This window comes from Homo sapiens, chromosome 8 (assembly GCF_000001405.40).
Source record: "Homo sapiens chromosome 8, GRCh38.p14 Primary Assembly".
Taxonomy (NCBI): Eukaryota; Metazoa; Chordata; class Mammalia; order Primates; family Hominidae; genus Homo; species Homo sapiens.
The window spans coordinates 121,197,087-121,219,473 of NC_000008.11; positions in this window are offsets into that span (position 1 = coordinate 121,197,087).

The following is a 22,387-nucleotide window of genomic DNA, read 5'->3' on the forward strand; positions in this document are numbered from 1 at the left end:
AAAACACAGGCCTGGCCCCAAAAAAGCCTCCAATTACATAACAATCTTGGACCTTGAAACCTTCAAAAGTAGAAAGCATGCCCTGAAATCTATGCAGCCCCCAAGGTTTGTTTATAGGCAACCTTTCCTTCAGATTTGGTGCTGGAGGACAATGGAAGAAAAGTCCAGTGGGTAGAGTCAAGGCTACAGAGAATACTTGTCCAGAGATTTCCTCCCAAATACAAGAATCTGGGTTTAATCAAAGAAGTTTCTCTATTCTTGGTAGAGGGGTGCTTCATAATGTCTGCCCATCATTTTTATTTTATTATTATTTTTTAGAGACAGAGTCTTTCTCTCTTGCCCAGGCTGGAGTGCAGTAGCCCTATTATAGCTCTCTGCAGCCTTGAACTCCTGGGCCCAAGTAATCCTCTTGCCTCAGCCTCCCCAGTAGTTGGGACTACAGGTGCATACCACCATATTCAGCTAATTTGTTTTGTTTTGTTTTTCAATTTTTAATAGAGACGATGTCTTGTTATGTTGCCCAGGTTGGTCTCGAACTCCTGGGCCCAAGTGATCCTCCCGCCTTGTCTCCCAAAGTGCTGAGATAATCGGTGTGAGGCACTGCACCTGGCCTCCCAGTAAGATTTCATAATTGACAAGTGTAGGTAGAGCATCTCTATTCCAAAAATCCAAAATTTGAAATACTCCAAAATCTGAAACTTTTTGAGAACCAACATGAGGCTACAAGTGGAAAATTCTACACCTGACGTCATGTGGTGGGTTGCAGTTGAAACTTTGTTTCATGCACTAAATTATCAAAGATATATAAAATTACTCTTATGCCATGCGTATTAGTTGTATGTGAAAAATAAATTAATTTTGTGCTTAGCCTTGGATCCCACCCCCAAGATACCTCATTGTCTCTATGCAAATATTCCAAATTCCAAAAAAAAGTGAAGTCTGAAACATTCCTCGTCCCAAGCATTTCAGAGAGTAGATACTGAACCTGTACCAATGACATCTGAATGGCTCACATATGTCCACTTTCCAAATAGGAACTTTAATTACAGTTATCCTGTCTTTATTACACCATTGTTTATTGGATATGTGTGCTTATGGTAGGTCAGATAATGTACTTTTAGTTTATAGCATATTGGACTGTGAAGAAGCACATCCATTTCTGACTAAAAGGACTTCACAGTGCTCAGAAATCCCAGACTTTGAGTTAGATATACCAATTTGTTGGGACTTTGGGCTGTGTCCTTGGGGAAGGGTGTGTTTTTTATGTGTGAAATAGAACACTCACAACAGATGACAACTGGAGATACACAATTTGGAGGTAACTTCAAGCTTTTCACACAAATCCATGTTTTTCCTTTTTTCTTAGGCACACAGGTAGATTACATTTTCCACCCTCCTTGTAGCTTCATGTGGCCTTGTGACTGAGTTCTAGCCCACAAAATGTGAGCAGAAGTGAAAAGTGTATTTTCTAGGCCTGCACCTTAGATGTACATTTTTTCATGCTCTCTTTCCCTTCTGGCTGATCAGAATGGATAAAATCTTCAAGGCGACCCTGGAAGCCATTTGTTGAAAATGGCAGATTAATCAGCCTGTGTCCCTGAATTACCGCGTAAAGAAGGGAAATTCCTCTGATCTTTTTGCCTGCCTACTACTGTATCATGAGCAAGAAATAAACTACTGTTTTTGACACTATATATACTTTTAGTCTATTTTTTAACCCCCCCAAATGAATACACTTAGCACTATCAAGTGACCTAGTATCTACCAATGTATTGTGTCCTTTAGGCTAAGGACCATACAGGTACTGCCTGGAATTTTTGCAAAGCAATGCCTGTCCCGTTGGTTTCTAACAGCAGACCTCTGCTAATACTGCAGAATAATGATTGGAACAATGCCATAGTACACATGGAAGGTATAATTTTATTTTATTTTGCAGCCAAATCTATGGACCAGTCAGAGGCTCTACAACACGTTTGCTGTATTTTCCTTCTAATATTTAAATTAGATAGAATGCAAGATAGCAAAGCATTGAATCAGAAATGTGTTCTATTTTTCTTTAACTTTAATTCCTATAGCATAAGTACCCGCTGGAGAAGTAGAAATTCCCTTCCTTTTCAAAAATATAATGTACCAGCCCAAGCCAAGCCAAGCCAATTACTTCTTTTCTTTCTTTCTTTCTTTTTTTTTTTTTTTTTTTTGAGACGGAGTTTTGCTCTGTCGCCGGGCTGGAGTGCAGTGGCACAATCCCAGCTCACTGCAACCTCCACCTCCTGGGTTCAAGTGATTCTCCTGCCTCAGCCTTCGAGTAGCTGGGACTGCAGGCGCCCACCACCACGCCCGGCTATTTTTTTGTATTTTTAGTAGAGACAGAGTTTCACCATGTTGGCCAGGATGGTCTTGATCTCTTGACCTCATAATCCACCCGCCTCGGCCTCCCAAAGTGCTGGGATTACAGGTGTAAGCCACCACGCCTGGCCACCAATTATTTCTTTTAAAATTTATTTATTTATTTCTTTTTGAGACTGGATCTCTCTCTCTCTCATTGGAGTGCAGTGGTACAGTCTCAACCTTACAGGCTCAAGGGATCCTCCTACCTCAGCCTTGTGAGGAGCTGGGACTACAAGTGTGTGCCACTACACCTGGCTAATTTTTAAAAAAAATTTTGTAGAGACAGTATCTCTCCATGTTGCCCAGGCTGGTCCTGAACTCCTGGGCTCAAGAAATCCTCCTTCCTCAGCTTCCCCAAAATGCTGGGATTACGAGGCATGACCCACCACACTCAGCTCCAAGCCCATTACTAATGTGCAAAATAGTCTTCTAGATTTTCAGAAAAACCAACTCTGAACATGCAATTCCTCCAGTTACTTTCATTTGTGATTGTACAATCATATAATTATCCTAAAGTTACAGGAATATTTTAGGGATTTCATTTTGTCACATAAGAAGGATTAAATTTTCTCAGTAGTTTGGTTGCCATCTATAATCACTCATGTGGATGTAAATATTTTACAAGTCGAAGTGTGCACGCCAATGTCTGTTCATGTGGTTCTTGGTCTTAGCCTGCCAACAGCAGCAGACATCTATAAATACCTCACCAGTTTTGCATGCCCTCTGTAAATTGCCTGTGTGGTTCCTCAGATGGAAGATTATTTTCACTATTATTATATTTATTTTATTAGTTATTTAGCCTCTCTGAGGCTTAGTTTGCCTGTCTGTAATTTAGAGATTTAAAAATCCATCTCTAAGATTTAGAACTAGTATGCACAAAATTTCTAGCCCAGTTCCTGGCTTGGTAAAGTGTTCAGCTAATAGTAACTATTATCATTTTCTATTTCAAAGAGTCAACACATGGCATTTAAGTCCATTTAAGTGCGGGGACTTTGGAGGCTGAAATAGCTCTTTTAAATTTTGACTTCACCACTTATTACTCACGGATTTTTGGAAATTATTTATAACTTGTTAGTCAGTTTTCTTGTCTGTAAACAAGGCACAATAATGAGACCAACCTAATGGGTTGTCATGAAACAAAATAGCATTTTTTTTAAAAAAAATCAAGTGCACACTATCTGGTACATAGTAAGTGCTCATTATGTGGTAGCTATATATTTATATATTATATACACACACAAACACACACGTGTATGTATATACATAAACATATACGTATACATACACATATACATACACATATACATATACATACACATATACAAATATGCGTATACATACACACATACATACACACACATATATGTATATGTACACATACACATACATACATATATGTATATGTACACACATACACATACATACATATATGTATATGTACACACATACACATACATACATATATGTATATGTACACACATACACATACATACATATATGTATATGTACACACATACACATACATACATATATGTATATGTACACACATACACATACACATACATATACACATACGTATATACATATACGTATACATACAAATATACGTATACATACACGTATACACACATATGTGTATACGTACGCGTATACGCACACGTATACACACGTGTGTACGTACGCGTATACGCACACGTATACACACGTGTGTACGTACGCGTATACGCACACGTATACACACGTGTGTACGTACGCGTATACGCACACGTATACACACATATGTGTGTACGTACACGTATACGCACACTTACACACACATATGTGTGTACGCACACGTATACATACACGTACACACACATATGTGTATACGCACACGTATACATACACGTACACATACGTGTATACGCACACGTATACATACACGTATACGCATACGTGTATACGCACACGTATACATACACGTATACATACGTGTATACGCACACGTATACATACACGTATACATACATGTGTATACGCACACGTATACATACACGTATACATACATGTGTATACGCGCACGTATACATACACGTATACATACATGTGTATACGCACAGGTATACATACACGTATACATGCATATGTGTATACGCACACGTATACGTGCATATGTGTATACGCACACGTATACGTGCATATGTGTATACGCACACGTATACATACACGTATGCATATGTGTATACGCACACGTATACATACACGTATGCATATGTGTATACGCACACGTATACATACACGTATGCATACGTACATATGTATATACATACACATATACATATACGTACATATACATATATGTGTATATACGTGTATGTGTATATACATACACATATACATATATGTATATGTGTATACGTGTGTGTGTGTGTGCCTGCGTGTGTATATATGTATATACACACACACATTTGTGTCTCCATATATCTCTTTATGTAATCAATCGCTCAACTTTTTACAAAGCTAAATTATTTACCCAGGTCCCCATTTTGTCAACTCATTGTAGGTACAATGCTTTCTTCTAAAAATGCCTGCTAATATGTCATGTTTATTTTCTTTCTTTATTCGTGTCATTGACCCACATATGTTCTGATAAATTAAATTCCATTTTGACTAGTACACTGAGATGGAGTTCATAAATTCATATGCTGAATGACCCTTGTGGAACCTTAACCAAAACTGTCATTTGATTCTTCCATACATATGTGTCAAGTTATTAAATGTTAAGCTCTTTCATTTTGTCTTTTTTATGATTATATCCAATTGATCCACAAATGGCCATCTCCTCAATGGGAAAGTTTTTCGTGATTGAAGGCAATATAACAAAATCTCACTTGTTCAATCAGCCTGTAATTTAAAAAATATAGTTTCTGATTTAGAAAATAGAAAATGAGTCATAGTTATAAAAAAATAAAGTTATATGGTAGCTTAAAAGTAATATTAGGAATCAAGCCATATTCTCAATATAATACTGCCAATAGGAGCATCATAAGGATGTTTCTAAATTACTGCAATTTGTGCTTGATGTTCTACCCAATGAGTTGCCTGTTTGAATCAGACACCTTTTTCACACTTCAGATCTTTTCAGCCCCACTAGTCTGCTGAGCTTTTGGCCAATTGTTCTAGCCCCAGCTACCTCTGTGGCAACTAACCTGATACAGACTTGAGCCAAACTCTTGCAGCCAAAACGCAACAGCACCTTGACTCATGTCCATAATGTGTCCCTCAGCTTTCTTCCCCATGGAACTAAGTAGAGTACTTTTAGGCTTGCTTGTGCTCATATGGGAAACCTAGAAATGCAAGGAAATTCATGCCTCATCGGGAACCCAGGGGAAAAGGACTCCTTCTCTCTCTCAGTTCTACAAATAGAAGGAATGTGTACAATTATTATACGTGAATTAAAATTTTAAAAAGGGCTTTTGCACAGCAAAGGACCAATCGACCAAGTGAGGAGACAGCCTATGAAATGGAAGAAAACATTTGTCAACTGTTAATATCTCTCCCACAACGGACTAATAACCAGAATATATGGGAAACTCTGAAAACTCAATAGCAAGGAAACACATAATTTGATTGAACAGTGGGAAAGGATCTAGTAGACATTTGTCAAAAGAGGACATGCAAATGGCCAACAGGTATACGAAAAAATGTTCAACATCACTGATTATCGGGAAGGAGCAAATCAAAGCCACAGTGAGATGTCATCTCACCCCAGCTGAAATGGCTTTCATCAAAAAGAAAAAAAATGATGGATGCTGTGAAGAATGCTCAGAAATGGGAATGCTCATACACTGTTGATGGGAATGTAAATTTTTATAGCCAGTATGGAAAACAGTATGGAGTTTCCTCAAAAGACTACAAGTGGAACTACCATATGATCCTGCAGTCCCACTGCCGGGTATATATCAAAAAAAAAAAAAAAAAGAAAATTAGTATATCAAAGAGATATCTACACTCCCATGTTTATTGCAGCACTATTCACAATAGCCAAGACATGAAGCCAATCTAAGCATCTGTCAACAGATGAATGCAGGTGATTGGATAAAGAACATGAATGGATAAAATACACACACACACAAACACACACATATGGATAAAGAACACACACACACACACACACACACAATGGAATACCATTCAGCCATAAAAAAGGAATGGGCTCCTTTAATGTGCAGCAACATTGATGGACCTGCAGGTCATATGTTAAGTAAAATAAACCAGACATGGAAAGACAAATACCACATATTCTCACTCATGTGTGGGAACTAAAGAGTAGATCTCATGGAGATAGAGAGTGGATTAGTGGTTACCAGAGGCTGGGAAGAGTAGACCGTTGGTGGGGAAGAAGACAGGATGGTTAATAAGCATAAAAATACATTTAGATAGAAGAAATAAGATATAATATTCAATAGTACATAGCGTGACTAGAGTTAACAATAATGTACAAGTCAAAATAGCTAGAAGAGAAGAACTGGAATGTTCCCGACAAAAAGAAAAGATAAATGTTTGAGGTAATAAATATCCCTATAACCCTGATTTCATCATTACAGTATGCATGTATCAAAATATCACATGTACCCCATAAATATGTACAAGTATTATGTATTAATAAAAAATCTTTATTGCTATAAAAAAGCAGCAGAAGGAGTGACAATAATAGTGTCAACTCATATTAAGTGTCTATTATATGCCAGGTAGCATGCTAAGCACTTCTCCTATGAAATCGCTTATTTCCTCTCAGCCTCGGTTTCTTCATCCATAAAATGGGGGTGATCTCACAGCTATCTCAAAGCTCGAATGCAGTAATTTATGTCAAGCATCTAGTCCAGTGCCTGGCATATGATAAATACTTAGTATTACCTTTATTATTGCTGTTATTACTCTTTCAGTTTCTGGAGGGCTGACACATGGAACAGGAAATTCTTATCTTAGATTTTTCTCTTCAGATACGAAAATAGAAACCATGGGTAGAAGAATGAAAATAATTGCAACTCCTTAAATGTAAAAATCTTTTCAACAAATACAGCCATTTTATGAAATAAGCTATTCACATCATTATTAAATTACTCACTGGAGGAAGCCCAGGATGAGTGAATTTCTGCTTGGGATATTCTACCCAGTATTTCCAATAGACATATGATGCTAGCCCATATAAAATTTTAAATTTCCAGTAGCCACATGTAAGAAGGTAAAAATAGATTAATTTTAATAATATATTATTTAACCAATAATCTCTAAAATATTATTTCAACAAGTTACCAGTATGAACATTTTAATGATATATTCTACCCATTTATTGTACTAAATCTTCAAAATCCAACCTTTGTTTTACACTTACAACACATATCAATTAGGATGCTAAATTTTATCCAAATATTTGATCTGTATCTAATGTTATAAGGTTCACAGTTGAAAAAGTAGATTCTGATAGTCATATTGTTCCAGAAATGCTTAAAACTTTTGCGATAGTGAAAGGATTTATTTTTACATTAAAATTAAAATTAATTAAAATTCAACAAAACTAAAAGTTATTTTCTCAATCCCATTAGCCAAATTTCAAGTGCTTAATAGCTGTATGTTGTTAATGGCTACCATATTGGGTGGTACAGCTCTAAAACACAGTTGTCAATCAATGACTGGAAGATTGGGTTAAATGATCCTTAAATCCCTTCCAGTTCTAATGAGTCTATAATTAAATTAATTCAACAAATACATATTCTGAATACAGTATATCCCGGGTATTATACTAAACATTAGATAGAATTCAAAGATGAACAAAAGATCATTGGACAAGTTAGTAATACTACTACTGTTTTGATCAATTAGGAAAGACTGATTTGCATTAAATTAGTCATTAAAAAATAAATATGTGGATAATTTTGGAAAAACCTCCAAACAGAAGAGACAGAATTGAATGTGACATCAATTAATAAATAAGCAAAATGAAGATGAAAGATAATCGTGCCTTTCCCTCACTACAAGCACAGTATGAGGAGAAGATGGAGCAATATGTGGTGTGTGCACACGTGTGTGTCTGTATGTGCGTGTACTGTAGTATTATTGGGAAACTTGTCCTATATTGAGTTGCTGGAGTATTAATTGGGTATCAGGGTTGGAAAAGTGTTATTTATCACGAGGGCTCAAGGATGGAAAAATGAGATGACAGAGCCTCCGGATATGCAGAGCATCCAGCTAAACTATCTAATGCTTAAATCTTGTATATAACATCCAAAGAAGTTTAATCATTTTTATAACTAACAAGCAACAATCTCTCTCTGCTTATGAACCATTAGATGAAGGCCAAAAATGTATAATTTTCAGCCCTGAAATTTTCTTGCAACCAAATTAAGTTAATTTAGAGCATTACATTTTATCCCGAGGTCTAATAAGTTTTACTTTTCCATAAACTTGGATGGTGAGAATCAGCAGCTCTCAAAGGAGAAGTCCTGCTTAGTAAAGGAAGGAGACTAACATGAACTGACTGTCTTTTAAAAGCTGTAACTTAATCAGCTGCTTTATATGTGCTCTTCCTATTAATCTTCATAGCAACACTCTGAGTAAATATTATTTATTTCCACAATTCAGAATGTGGGAACTGGTTCTTGAATCTTGAATCTGGAATTTTGGATCTCATGCTCAATTCATTATATTGCGCAGACCTCAGATATGTTGCAATAGCTTTAAGAATATTTAGGTTAGGATCGTATGTGTGCCCCTTCCTTTACAGAGTGGTAGAATTGCCAAGAGATGCCTGCCATGCCCATTTCTCTACATCTTACCATGTTTCCATTGGTTTAGTAAACTTCTAAAGAAGTTTTCAAGAATCATAATTAAGTTCTCATGCAGTCCAGTTAGAATTCCTATGTACCATGTCCACTCATTGCATACTTAACACCAGCTAACCATGAGTCTTTGGTTACTGGACCAAGTGGTTTAGAAACTGTGGATAATTAGATGACTGTAGTCTCCCTCATTTGTGTTAGAGTCCTTAGTCTTTGTCGGTCACAGGTTACAGATTTTACCACTGGTTTGATTTTTCTTATTTAATGTAACTTTCCAAAAGATATTTGCAATGGCATGATTTCTATTCTAAATATGAGGAAATCAGAGACCAAGAAAAGCAAAATAACTCATCAAATCCTCTGTCTGGTGACAGCTCCCCGAGTAGAGCCCAGTATTTCACTTTAATTCAAAACTATCTTTACACCAGCATACCACCTCTTTAAAAATAAGTCTCAAAGTATAAGCACAAGGGAGTTAAGATTGTTTTGTACATAGAGTGAAATAGTTTGTAGATCCAAAGGGAAAGTATGATCAACTAGAAAAGCCACTTAGCTGATGTAATATAATGTAAGAGTTCTTATGGTGTGCCAGGCATTGGACTAAGCACTTTCATTATTATTCCATCTTATTCTATTCCATATTATTCTATCTTCAAGAACTCTGGGGATAATTTTTAATTTATTATAATTTTACAGGGATGGAAACTGAGGCTTAGGAGGGTTTGGTTTCTTTCTTCAGGTAACTCAGTTGATAAGGGGTTAGGCCAAACCTAGAAATTCATGCTCTATCCATGGGTAAGACATGCTTGAATCTTGCTGGATATAACTTTCTGGAAATTCATTTATTTTAGAAATTCACTGCCAAATTTGGTCTGAAGGTATTAGGAAATGTTAAAATAAGAAGGAAATGATTCCAAACCACTGGAATTTTTCTCTTCATTTAATTCAATTCAACAATTTGTTATATCCCAAACTGAGGTTATATTATTGGAGAATTCTTTAAAATATCTAAAATAATGGGCAAACATATCAGAACAATTGGAAAGATTCTGCAAGGGCTTTATTTCTTAACTATTGAATTAGTTAGCACTTTTGTATTTTTTGGTGAAAACACAGGTATAACACTTTATACCCATTCCATGAAAACAGCTGCAGTGTATGTTCAGTTTATTCCCCAAGGTATGGACAAGGTCTAACAGTCTAATTTATGTTCTTCCATTGCCATTTTAATAGATTCTGACTCAGTTTGTATAGCAGTGGCCCTGATCCAATATCTGGCTCTAGGTACATTTGCTTTAGCAGATGATTCTGCTACAATAACTTTTCTTCTATGCTTTCCAAGAATACTCTATAGAGAGCAATTCCATCTTGGCCTAGGACAAGGTGACATAACCAAACTAGTCTCTCATATCCTTGACACTCAGTAATAAATTTGAGGTATTGTAAGTGAAACAGGAATATTGTGACTTCCATGCTGTCAGATGAATTATTATTATTGATTCTGCTATTCTTATTTTTATTACCATTCCCACACAAGTGAATCTTAAATTTGCTTTTGAGGTATGTTACTTCCTTTGAAGGCATACCAGCCTGGTTGGGGGAGAAAGTTTGAGGCTGATTCTTTGGGTAAACTTTGTCAAGTCAACTAGCCTCTTTCAGCCTCTCTCCTTGTCTTTAAAATAGCCTGTTTCAATGAAATGATCATGAAAGTTTCCTATAGCAAAACAAATTCTCATTTTCATAAAATACTTTATTATGATATTCACTTAGAATTTATCTTAATAAAAATCGCTGCACAGACAAGCTTTCAGATATTCGTCATTCTTTTGTCTTCTGTTCCATTCTCTCTAATTATCTTGAAAATTATACAAACTATATCCCGTTGGTTAAGGCATTTGTTCTGGACCCAGAATACCCAATCCAAATGTTGGCTCCACCACTTATGAGATGTATAAATTAGACGAATCACATACCCTTCATGGGCTGTAAACCCCCCTATGTATATGGGTAACAATATTATTACCTATCTCAAAGAGTTGTTGTACAGATTAAATGAGTTAATATAAATAAATAACTCAAACCTAATAAAAAAACAATTTATTGATAAATGTCACTTATTATTTGAAATTATGTATTTGAAATAAAAGCTCAGTGGCTGAAAAAATTATTTGAAACTCAACTTAAACATATGTGAAAATATATTCATTTGGTTGGGTTGATTTTGTTTAGTAATCATTTATTTGAATATTCATTCACAAACTTGATGATAGCTTGGCCATATGTCTACTCTTTGTTTCTCCTGTTCTCACCACTCCCTATGTCTCTCCATTGGGGAATGGAAGTTTGAGTTTGATCTGCTAAGCAATATTTCTTCCAAAAATCATAATGTATGAGTTGGAGAGAAGGGAAGGTCAGTCTGTTTTTTGGATGAAGAACTACCCCATCACCTGGAGGATCCAGATAGGAGCCAAATGTGTTCTCTGAAGTCAGTTCTACTTAGTAAATGAGAAATTCATTGCAGTCACATTATCAATAGGTCTCTAATAATGCTATACTACATAATTTATTGAGAGTTTATTCTGTGCAAGAAACTGAACTCTACAATTAATTTATATAATTAATTTCTTATTATCCTCTCAACAAGTTTATGAAAATTGAATTATTAACTCCATCTTACGTATTATATAGACAGAAAATCAGAGAAGCGAAAAGAGTTCAGGCTCACACAGTGAGTTGGTGAAAAAGCTTAAATCCTTCTCCCTCCTTCCTTCCCCTCCCTCCCTCCCTCCCTCCCTTCCTTCCTTCCCTCCCCTCCCTCCCTCCCTCCCTCCCTTCCTTCCTTCCCTCCTTTCTTCCTTCCTTCCATTTTAAAATCATATTGTATGTGCAATAAGTCACTGAAGAAGGAGTCATTCTTATATTTATATTGAGTCAGAAAACTCAGCTTGGTGCCCAGGTTTTTAAGGAAAACGCTTCACTTCTGAGTTTAATCAAGGTTTCCTGAAAGGATGAAATTTTAGAAGGAGGGCACAGGAAACAGCTCAGGGAAGTCTCTTCAAAAGGCAAACAGCAGGAAATAAATTTAAAATGACTCTTAACTACCTACATGCTTATGCTAACTGAAATCACTTGAATGTACAATTTGCTTGTAAACCAAATTAGGGTACAAAAATGGTCATAGACTACAGAAAAGAAAAAAATGCCATTGCAAAAATTGGCTCAAAAATTAGCTATTAAACTCCCATTTGCAGTTATTACTTATAGCATGTGTAATATAACCCATTGAAATTCTATCTTATATGTTTAAGGAAAAAAGAAATACTAGTCTAGAAGGTAATGTCATACATTGGCTAGCTACATGTACTGAAGGAGAGTGGTTGTAGTTTTGATTCTAGCGAGATTTTGACTTCTTTATGACCTTTTCTATTTGAGACTTTTCTACTGGAAGTAAAAGGGAAAACACACACACCCACACACACACACACACACACACACACACACACAGAACCTAGATGATTGAATGCCAGACACTTACCAGTCTTGATTTGCTTTAATGTAACATTGTAAGGAGGGAAGGAGGCAGGATTCATAGCAATGGGACTATTCTACTTTAAATCTTAGATCCTGCACTTAATAAGTACATGATCATTGCAGTTCACCTAACTTCTCCAACATTCACTTTTTTCATCCTTATATCAGAATAAAAGATACTTGAGAAAATTATCTTATGCTTGGCATTCTTGAAAGTCTGCCCTCAGGACCTCTTTGAATTGTCCTTTTGTTTAGCAAAGAAGAGAATTTTACATCTCTGGGCAATTCTTAACTCTCAAGAGAGAAAAATCTTACTCAACATCTCAGAATTTCAGGAAAACATAGAAGAGCATTTGTGAGTCAACTTAACATTTCTTCAAAGCCCTTCTCCCCAGCCCCTTTTTTCTCCTACCCAGGTAGCACCAATATAATAGGCAAAACTCTAAACTGATAGGCAAAAACCCTAACAGGAAAAGTCTGAGGCCATTGGGCATATGCTAAACATTCTAGGTTTGCCATAAAATAATTTGCTTCTGAGAGTAAGATTAATTCTGCTCTGAGAGGATGGTATTCACTTCCACCCCTGCTTATAAAGATACTCTAATAAAGATGATTAGAAATAAGACTATGTATAAAAAGATATTTCATGGATAGCAAGAAAATGTATTTAACTGCAGTAAAATAATCCAAATACCTGCTCCATTGTTTTTAACTTCACAAATTTAAATATATATACATATATATAAAATTATATTTTTAATATACATTTTTATTTCAATAGCTTTTGAGATACAGGTGGTTTTTGGCTACATGGATGAATTGTATAGTGGTGAAGACTGAGATTTTAGTGCTCCTGTCACCCGAGTAGAGTACTTTGTACCTGATATGTAGTGTTTTATCCCTCATCCTCCTCTCATCCTCCTCCCTTTTGAGTCTCCCAAATCCATTATATCACTCTGTATGCCTTTGTGTACCCATAGCTTAGATCCATTTAGAAGTGACAACAAATGTTATTTGGTTTTCCATTCCTGAGTTACTTCACTTAGCATAATGGCCTCTGGCTTCATCCAAGTTGCTGTAAAAAACATTGTTTTATTCTTTTTTATGGCTGCATAGTATTCCATGGTGCATGTATATCACATATTCTTTATCCAATCACTGGTCAATGGGCACTTAGGTTGGTTCCCTATCTTTGAAATTATGAATTCTGCTACAATAAACATATGCATGCAGGGTTTTTAAAATATATAATGACTTATTTTCCTTTGGATAAATACCCAGTAGCAGGATTGCTGGATCAAATGGTAGATTTACTTTTAGTCCTTTAAGAAAAATCTCTATACTGTTTTTCATAGAGATTGTACTAATTTACATTCCCACCAGTAGTGTATAAGCATTCCCTTTTCGCCACACCCATGCCAACATCTATTGTTTTTTTGACTTTTTAATAATGGCCATTCTGACTGAGTAAGTTGGCATCTCACTGTGGATTTAATTTGCATTTCTCTGATGATTAGCAATGCTGAGCATTTTTTTCATATGTTTATGGGCCCCTTGTATATCTTCTTTTGAGAAATGTCTATCCATATCACGTGCCCACTTTTTGACAGGATTATTTGCTTTTTTTTTCTTGCTGATTTATTTGAGTTCCTTGTAGATTCTGGATATAAGTCCTTTGCTGGATGCACAGGTTGCAAATACTTCCTTCCATTCTGTGGGTTGTCTGTTTACTCCAATGATTATTTATTTTGCTATGCAGGAGCTTATAAGTATATATATTTTAAAAGTGCTTGTGGAAAATTTTAATGTAATGGAATTCCTCTTATTGTGTGATCATCTCTACATACCCTTCTATTAATCTTAAATATTAGTTTAAGATTACTCGTGAGTCTTAAGATTATTGGTGAATCTGATTATTGGTGATTATTAGTTTAAGATTATTGGTGAATGTACTCCTTTTAGATGAAGCTGTCAAAGGACGAGAACCATATAATAATAAATATTAGCAAATAGCATAAATAAAATAATAAACATAAAAATAGCATATTTTTATGCTAAGTACAGTAAGCATACTGTACTTAGCACCATGGCTCTGCAGCAAGACATTATTTTAAGTTAGATGCTCAATATAAATTATACATTAAAAAATTTATCAGAACTTGAAAACTTTCACAATCGGATCCAATCATTTCCTTGGAATGTGTGAGGTGTTACAAATGCCGCCTAATTCTTTTTGAAGCTCGAGGAAAAGGCAAAAGTCTTGTAACATACTGAAATGATTTGAATGATTTTACCGTAAAATGGCTTGGATTTGCTCATCTGGCTCCAAGTTCAGAAGAATGACCAACAAACTGACTTATGTTCTCAGCAGTGTAGACACTGAAGGGCCTGAGCAGATGTTGAAGGCTTACTCCAGGCCAATGCATGAGGTTGTTTTTTTTTTTGTTTTTTTTTTGTGGTTTCTCTTAAGTGTTTGCTAATATCTACCACATTGCATACTCAATGTTCCTTTTCAACTGGCCTGCCTGCTCATAATATAAAGCAGATGATTTCATCTTTCACAGCGCCTTTTTGCTACAGTGAACTGAAGTCTGCAGAGTTCAGACTTCTCTAATAACATCCATGTTTCTTTAAGAACAGGAAAATCCCTTCCCCTTAAAAGGTTTGCTCCTCAGTCCTGAGTTCTATAATACAATATTATATGTAATTCCTGTTTAAACAATAGTCTACATTTCCTCCAAGTACTCATTTAGGCTTCTGCTATATTACATTTTTAAGATATGCTGTACCTTTAGTAAGCACAAATTGCATTTCCTATTAGAGGAGAATAACGTCACTTATTTCGGTTAGAAATGCTTCATTTTAAATAAACAGAACAGAAATGGTTTCCTTATTCAGTGTTAAATGAAAGTAAAAGAGCCCTTTAATAAAGACAATGAAGGAAATGTATGTATGTTTTTTATATTATTTTATTTTGTTTATTTAATTAATTTATTTATTTATTGGAGACTGAGTCTCACTCTGTCACCCAGGCTGGAGTGCAGTGGTGTGATCTCAGCTCACTGCAACCTCCGCCTCCTGGATTCAAGCAATTCTCCTGCCTCAGCCTCCCAAGTAGCTGGAACTACAGGTGCGTGCCACCATGCCCAGCTAATTTTTTGTATTTTTAGTAGAGACGGCGTTTCACTATATTAGCCAGGATGGTCTCAATCTCCTGACCTCGTGATCCGCCCACCTTGGCCTCCCAAAGTGCTGGGATTACAGGCGTGAGCTACGGTGCCCAGCCGTTTTTTATATTCTTAAGGAGAAAAAAGAGAAGTCAGGAACAATATCTGTCCTGGTTCTGACTTGGACTTGATTTTGTTATCTTTTACTTTCTCTTATATTGAACATAATTACTTGATTGATTTGTGTTTTTGTGCCCTCTCCAAGTTTAAAGGCTTAGGTAAAGTAGATAATGTCTTTTAGAATCTGAAATCCCTAGAGGGTTCTGATAATACTATATAAACATTTTATTTTAGATTTTCAGAATGATTTGAAGGAAAAGGGTCATGGAAAACTGCAAAAATTTCATCTGTTCCTTTCAGCCCATACTACATTAAACTTGGATAAGTATTTGCTATACCAGTAAGGGCTCCTAAGATCTATCCCTTCACCTTAATGTTGTCAAGCACCTACGTGAAACAAGTTGTTAAATGTGGCTTTTTAGTTTGCTTTGGAGTGTTTATAGAGGCCCTAAGGGCTGGGAAATACATCATCGGTGACAGATAACCCTTCATCCTAAAGTAAAATTGTAGTTTTATAGTAAGACTATGCTGTCAATATTGAATAAGTATGATAACTTTCTGAGAACACTTTCTGTTTCGATACTGGACCCTGGTAAATACAGAATGACTGGCCGTGGAACATCAAATGATCATACAACCAGAACTGCCCACCATGATCAGGGTTCAGGCAAATTCACCATATCGTAATAATGAGTGGGGCCAGCAGTAATCCATTCTAAGATGGAAGTAATACAGATGGGTTTAGACAAGAATAGGGCTAGAAGGCACAAGCAAGAGGGAAAAAAACAAGCTTAGGCTATAGATAGATCAGTTCAGTGTATAGGCGCAAACTGAAAATGAACTGTGGTGCATTATTGCCCACTTAGAAGTGGCACTGAATAAAATTTTCAGGGAAAATCATCCCAGTGGCCAGGACTTTGAGAAGTGAACCTGGATGTCTATTTTCTGTGGAAAGAGAGGTAGCCTGAGGTAATAATAACACAGACACATGGACGGTGAAAATTGTTTGGCTGGTTAATCAGGGTACTGGAAAGAGTATAAGATTGGGACAAGGAGTTCTAGACAAGAAGCATTTGGATAACCTATTGGGCATGGGCATGAATTGTGCTGGATTTTCTACTGCTTATTAATCCTGATAAGAGAAGATCCACCATAGGAGAGACACTAAGTAACCAAGTAGACTGATTGACCCAGTTAATGTCAACCACTCTGCTACTGGCACATTGTGCACATGGAACAGAGTAGGCTGGGCAGCAGGGATGGAGAGTGTGCACTGGCCAGATTGCATGGTTTTCCATGATCAAGTCTGATCTTACTACTGCCTTTAACGAATTCCAGACTGCTAGCAGCAGAGATCAACTCTGAGCCTCAAATACGGTATCATCTACTAAACAAACCAACCAGCCCATCGGTGGAGAATTGACCATATGTAAGACCCCTTTAACTTTGTTAATCCATGCTCTTTGGAGTTTGTGTTTGTCTTTCCTGCCAGTAGGGCTCAGCTAGCACCATGATTAGAGGACTCACAGAGTATTTGACCCATTGACATGTGATTTTATATAACATCAGATGAAGTGACCAACCTCACAGCACAGTAGATTTGACATCAGTTTATCTCCATGGGATCCATTAGTTCTATCACATTCCACTTCTCATAGGAGTTGTCTGTCTTTTTAGCAATGGTGCAGCCTGCTGAATGAACATCTGAGGCACCAGCTTGGAGAGAATATTTTAGGAATTCTTTATATACCCCAAGTCAGCAACCATGTATGATTCTATGTCCCCCAAATGATAGAATACATAGGTCCTAGAACTAAGCAGTGAATGTAACAGTAGCCTGTTTAATTATCATTCCAAGTGACCCACTTAGGGAAATTGTGCTTCTCATTCTGAAAACTCTGGGCTTTGTGGGCTTAGATGCCTTGGTTTCCAGAGGGAGAAAGCTTCCACCAGGGAATGCAAGAAAACTCCCATTAAAGCTCAAGCTTCAGCAACTAGTGTTCAATCACTTTAAGTTTCTTGTGCCATGATACTGGCATACAAAGAAAGGACTCACCAACCTGGTAAGTGATTCTGATTATCAAGAGGAGGAAGGACTGCTCTTACATGAAAGTAAATAATATGTTTGGCACTCGGGTGATCCATTTGGGCATCTCTTGGTAATTTTTTACTCAATTTTGATAGTAACTGAACAAGTTTAGCAACCAAAACTCGAGAAGGACATACCAATGCCTCAGAGATGAAGCTCTGAATTGCTTTAACAGGTAAGCCATTGAGGCTAACAGAGTTGTCAGCTGAAGGTGAAGGAATCTTGAATGGGTAACAAGAGAGGAGTATGGTGAATATTAGTTATAGCTTCAAAACTAGCTTCATTGGTGAAACCTAGTGTTCATTCCATTGACCATCTTCTTGTAAACTTCCTCCAGGAACAATAACACCGATCCCAGACCTGATGTATGTGGAGCTGAATAGCATAAGGTGTGAATTCTGTGGTGTTCACCTAGATCACACTTTAAAACTGAAGGACTAAATTTCTCATCTCAAGAGTGTTGGTAACATATCTCTAAGCTGAGTCCCTCTCCGGCACTTGTCCTTGGTGTTAAAAAGCTGCATTGCTCAAGGTTACCCCCTTCGCTGGGAGAGCCTGGGACAACTTGATATGGGGATATGAAAGCTGTGCCCCTCACCTCAATTTGAAACAACTATGAAGGTCCATTCCAGGTCTAGGACTCTGCATGATTTTCTGAGTCTTTGCTACAAGTTCATCACAGTTCAACTTCTTTCTCCTGAATTCTGACTTCTTAACTTCCCTGCAGGTGCTAATCCTGAAGGTGCCTCAAAATACTCCTGCAAGCAAACCTCCCCCTCAGAGTCTACTCCCTGGGAAACTCAACCTTGTAACATCCTTAGGTTTAGAATAATATTGCAGCTAATAAATCTTGTTGTTTTTACTAATTTTTTATTCTTATGTAGTGTGAGTGTGTGAACATATACTCACTATCAACGTCACTGGAGAAGCAAATCAATTAACTAAAAATTTCATTTTCAGCAAAACTTTCTTGAAAGGCCTTTTGGAGAGAGATACCTGGAGAGCCATGCTCAGCATTTGATTTGGAGGTGATTTTGAAGCCAAAGGTCTCTGAAATGTGAGCTTTTCTGATAATGATAGAAAACTCAGTTCTAACTCTGGCTTCAGCATTTCCTAAACAAACAACTTGAATTACTACAAAAATTACACTTAAAAGTTGACTGTATTTTTTTTCTAACAATTCTAACAATCACATCAGGACCCCTGTCTGAGTCTGTTTTTTGTTTTGTTTTTTGTTTCTTGTTTTGTTTTGTTTGTTTGTTTTTGCTGCTATATCAGAAAACCACAGACTGGGTAATTTATAAACAATAGAAGTTTATTTGGCTCATGGTTCTGGAAGCTGGGAAGTCCAAGATTGAGGCACCGCATCTGGTGAGGGCCTTATTCCTGCATCAGAACATGGCAGAAGGCACCAGGTGGTGAGAGGGCATGCAAGAGAGAGAGAGAGAGAGAGAGAGAGAGAGAGAGAGGAGGGCAGAGGGACCAAAATAATCCTTTTATTAGAAAACTTCTTGTGGGGTAACTAACCCACTCCCAAAATAATGGCATTAATCCATTCATGAGGTCAGACCTCTCATGACCTCTTAAAGGTCCCACCTCTCAACAATATGACATTGAATTTCAGACACATGGACTTTGGGGATACTTTCAAACAAGAGCAGATCCTTGCCTCTCTGCTGTTCTTTATGATTTACACGTAAGATTTCACAACAACCCTGTGACTTAGGTAAGGCAGGTATTGTTATTCTCTCTTCTGTAAAATAAAAGTGGGATGCAAAGAAACTTAATGTGTTTCCCAAGTTTGCACAGTTACTAAGTGGCAGCAGTATCAGAGGTCTGGGATGATTTGATTAACATTAAAAAATGAAAGAAGGAAAAATCAGCATTGAAAAATGTTGCTCTACTTTAAATGTTTATATTTAAAGTGTCATACGTTTTAAATGCCAAAACACAAAGAAAATATTTATACTGAACATTATATAAATTAATTTGGAGATATTGTCATTAATAAGCTTCCTTGTAAGCAACATATAATTTATATATTTGTACCACCTTTTAGAGGAGTGGTTCTGTAAAATAACCTTCTTATGTTCCATCTTCATGCCATTGATTCCCATACTCTAATCCAAGCCCAGGGCTCTTTCAATACCATTATTTTCTGATTTAAACTTGGGTTTTTATTTCTGACCTCTATGTTCCCTTTTCACTTAAGCTTATTTTTCAAAAGAGGATTTATTTATTATTACAGCTGTATTTTCTTTTATCCAATAAAATATTAATTTTTTTCTGTACCTTATAAGAAAGCGAGTCCTTCACCTTCTTCTTTCAGCCCCACCCCCACCATTTCTACATAACTACATACACACTTTTCTATTTTTGGTAGATTTATTCTTTAGAATTGCTTTGGCTATGATAAACTTTACTTAAGACATTAATAATTCTTGGCAAGGGCTTCTTTTGTGTTTTAACTTTGAAAGGAAAACTTACTCTGCATAATTGCCCCATTCTTAACTGTGGTATAGATTGAAAACAGCAAAAGCTGATAACAGCTTTGCCCCAAGTATACAAACTTCAGGTCTGCTTTTCTCTCTGCAGAATTTAGCTTTTAGCTATACATGGAGAACTTTTTAGTAAATTTAGGCTTGGAGATGGAAGAGAGAAAAAGGAACAAAGACAATTTAGACTTTGATTTGAATTCTCAGTAATCAAAAATAGTTTTTCTTATATTTAAAGAATAAAGTAAAAGGTATTTAATAAACTTTACATACTAATAAAAAACAAATTACAAAAAGACCAAAAACTTGAAGCTGGGTTTTTGTATTTTTGGTTACTATAAGAAATTTAAATGTAGCAAAGATGGAAATTGTATTTTAATATCTAGTGCAGATTTTCATTCAGAAGGACAATTGTCTTTGTTTTAAACACAATTTAATAGATGTGCTTATAAAGATAAGGCTTTCTGGAAATAGCAGAGATAATTCAATGAAGCAGATGAGAACATCAGTTCATTCATCAATCAGTGAAACAAACCTGTCCAAGAAAGGTACAATAATTTTGAGATTGGAGGAAATAGAGTAGGTGAGTGTATTAGTCCATTCTCACGCTGCTGTGAAGAAATACCTGAGACTGGATAATTTATAAAGAAAAGAGGTTTAATTGACTCACAGTTCTGCATGGCTGGGGAGGTCTCAAGAAACTTACAATCATGGCAGAAGGCACCTCTTCACAGGGCATCAGGAGAGAGAATGGGCACTAGCAGGAGAAATCCTAGACACTTAAAAAAACCATCAGATCTCATGAGAACTCACTCACTATCACTAGAATAGCCTGGTGGGAACCACCCCCATGATTCAATGACTTCCCACTGGGTCTCTTTCATGACAGGTGGTGATTATGGGATTAAAATTCAAGATGAGATTTGAGTGGGGACACAAAGTTAAACCATATCATTATCCCCCTCTCCCCTCCCATATCTCATGTCTTCACATTTCAAAACACAATTATGCCCTTCCAACAGTCCCCCAAAGTCTTAACTCATTCCAACATTAACCCAAAGGCCAAATCCAAAGTCTCATCTGAGACAAGGAACGTCCCTTCTGCCTATGAGCCTGTAAAATCAAAGGCAAGCTAGTTACTTTCTAGATACACTGGGGGTACAGGCATTGGGTAAATACACTCACCAAAAATGGAAGAAATTGGTCAAAACAAAGGGGCCACAGGCCCCATTTAAGTCCAAAATCCAATAGTCATAAATCTTAAAGTTCCAGAATGATCTCCTTTGCCTCATGTCTCAAAATCAGGTCATGCTGATGCAAGAGATGAGCTCCTATTGCCTTGGGCAGCTCTGACCCTATGGCTTTGCAGGGTACAGCACCCCTGCTGGCTGATTTCACAAGCTGGCATTGGGTTTCTGTGGCTTTTCCAGGCATGGTGCAAGATGCTGGTGGATCTACCATTCTGGGGTCTGGAGGATGGTGGCCATCTTCTCCCAGCTCCACTAGGCAGTGCCCCAGTGGGGACTGTGGTGGGGGGCTCCAACCCCACATTTCCCTTTTGCACTGCCCTAGCAGAGGTTCTCCACGAGGGCTCCGCCTCTGCAGCAAACTTCTGCCTGGATAACAGGGCATTTCCATACATCCTCTGAAATCTAGATGGAGGTTCCCAAACCTTAATTCTTGACATCTGTGTACCCACAGGCTCAACACCACATGAAAGCCACCAAGGCTTGGGGCTTGCACCCTCTGAAGCAATGGTCCAAGCTGTACCCTGGTCCA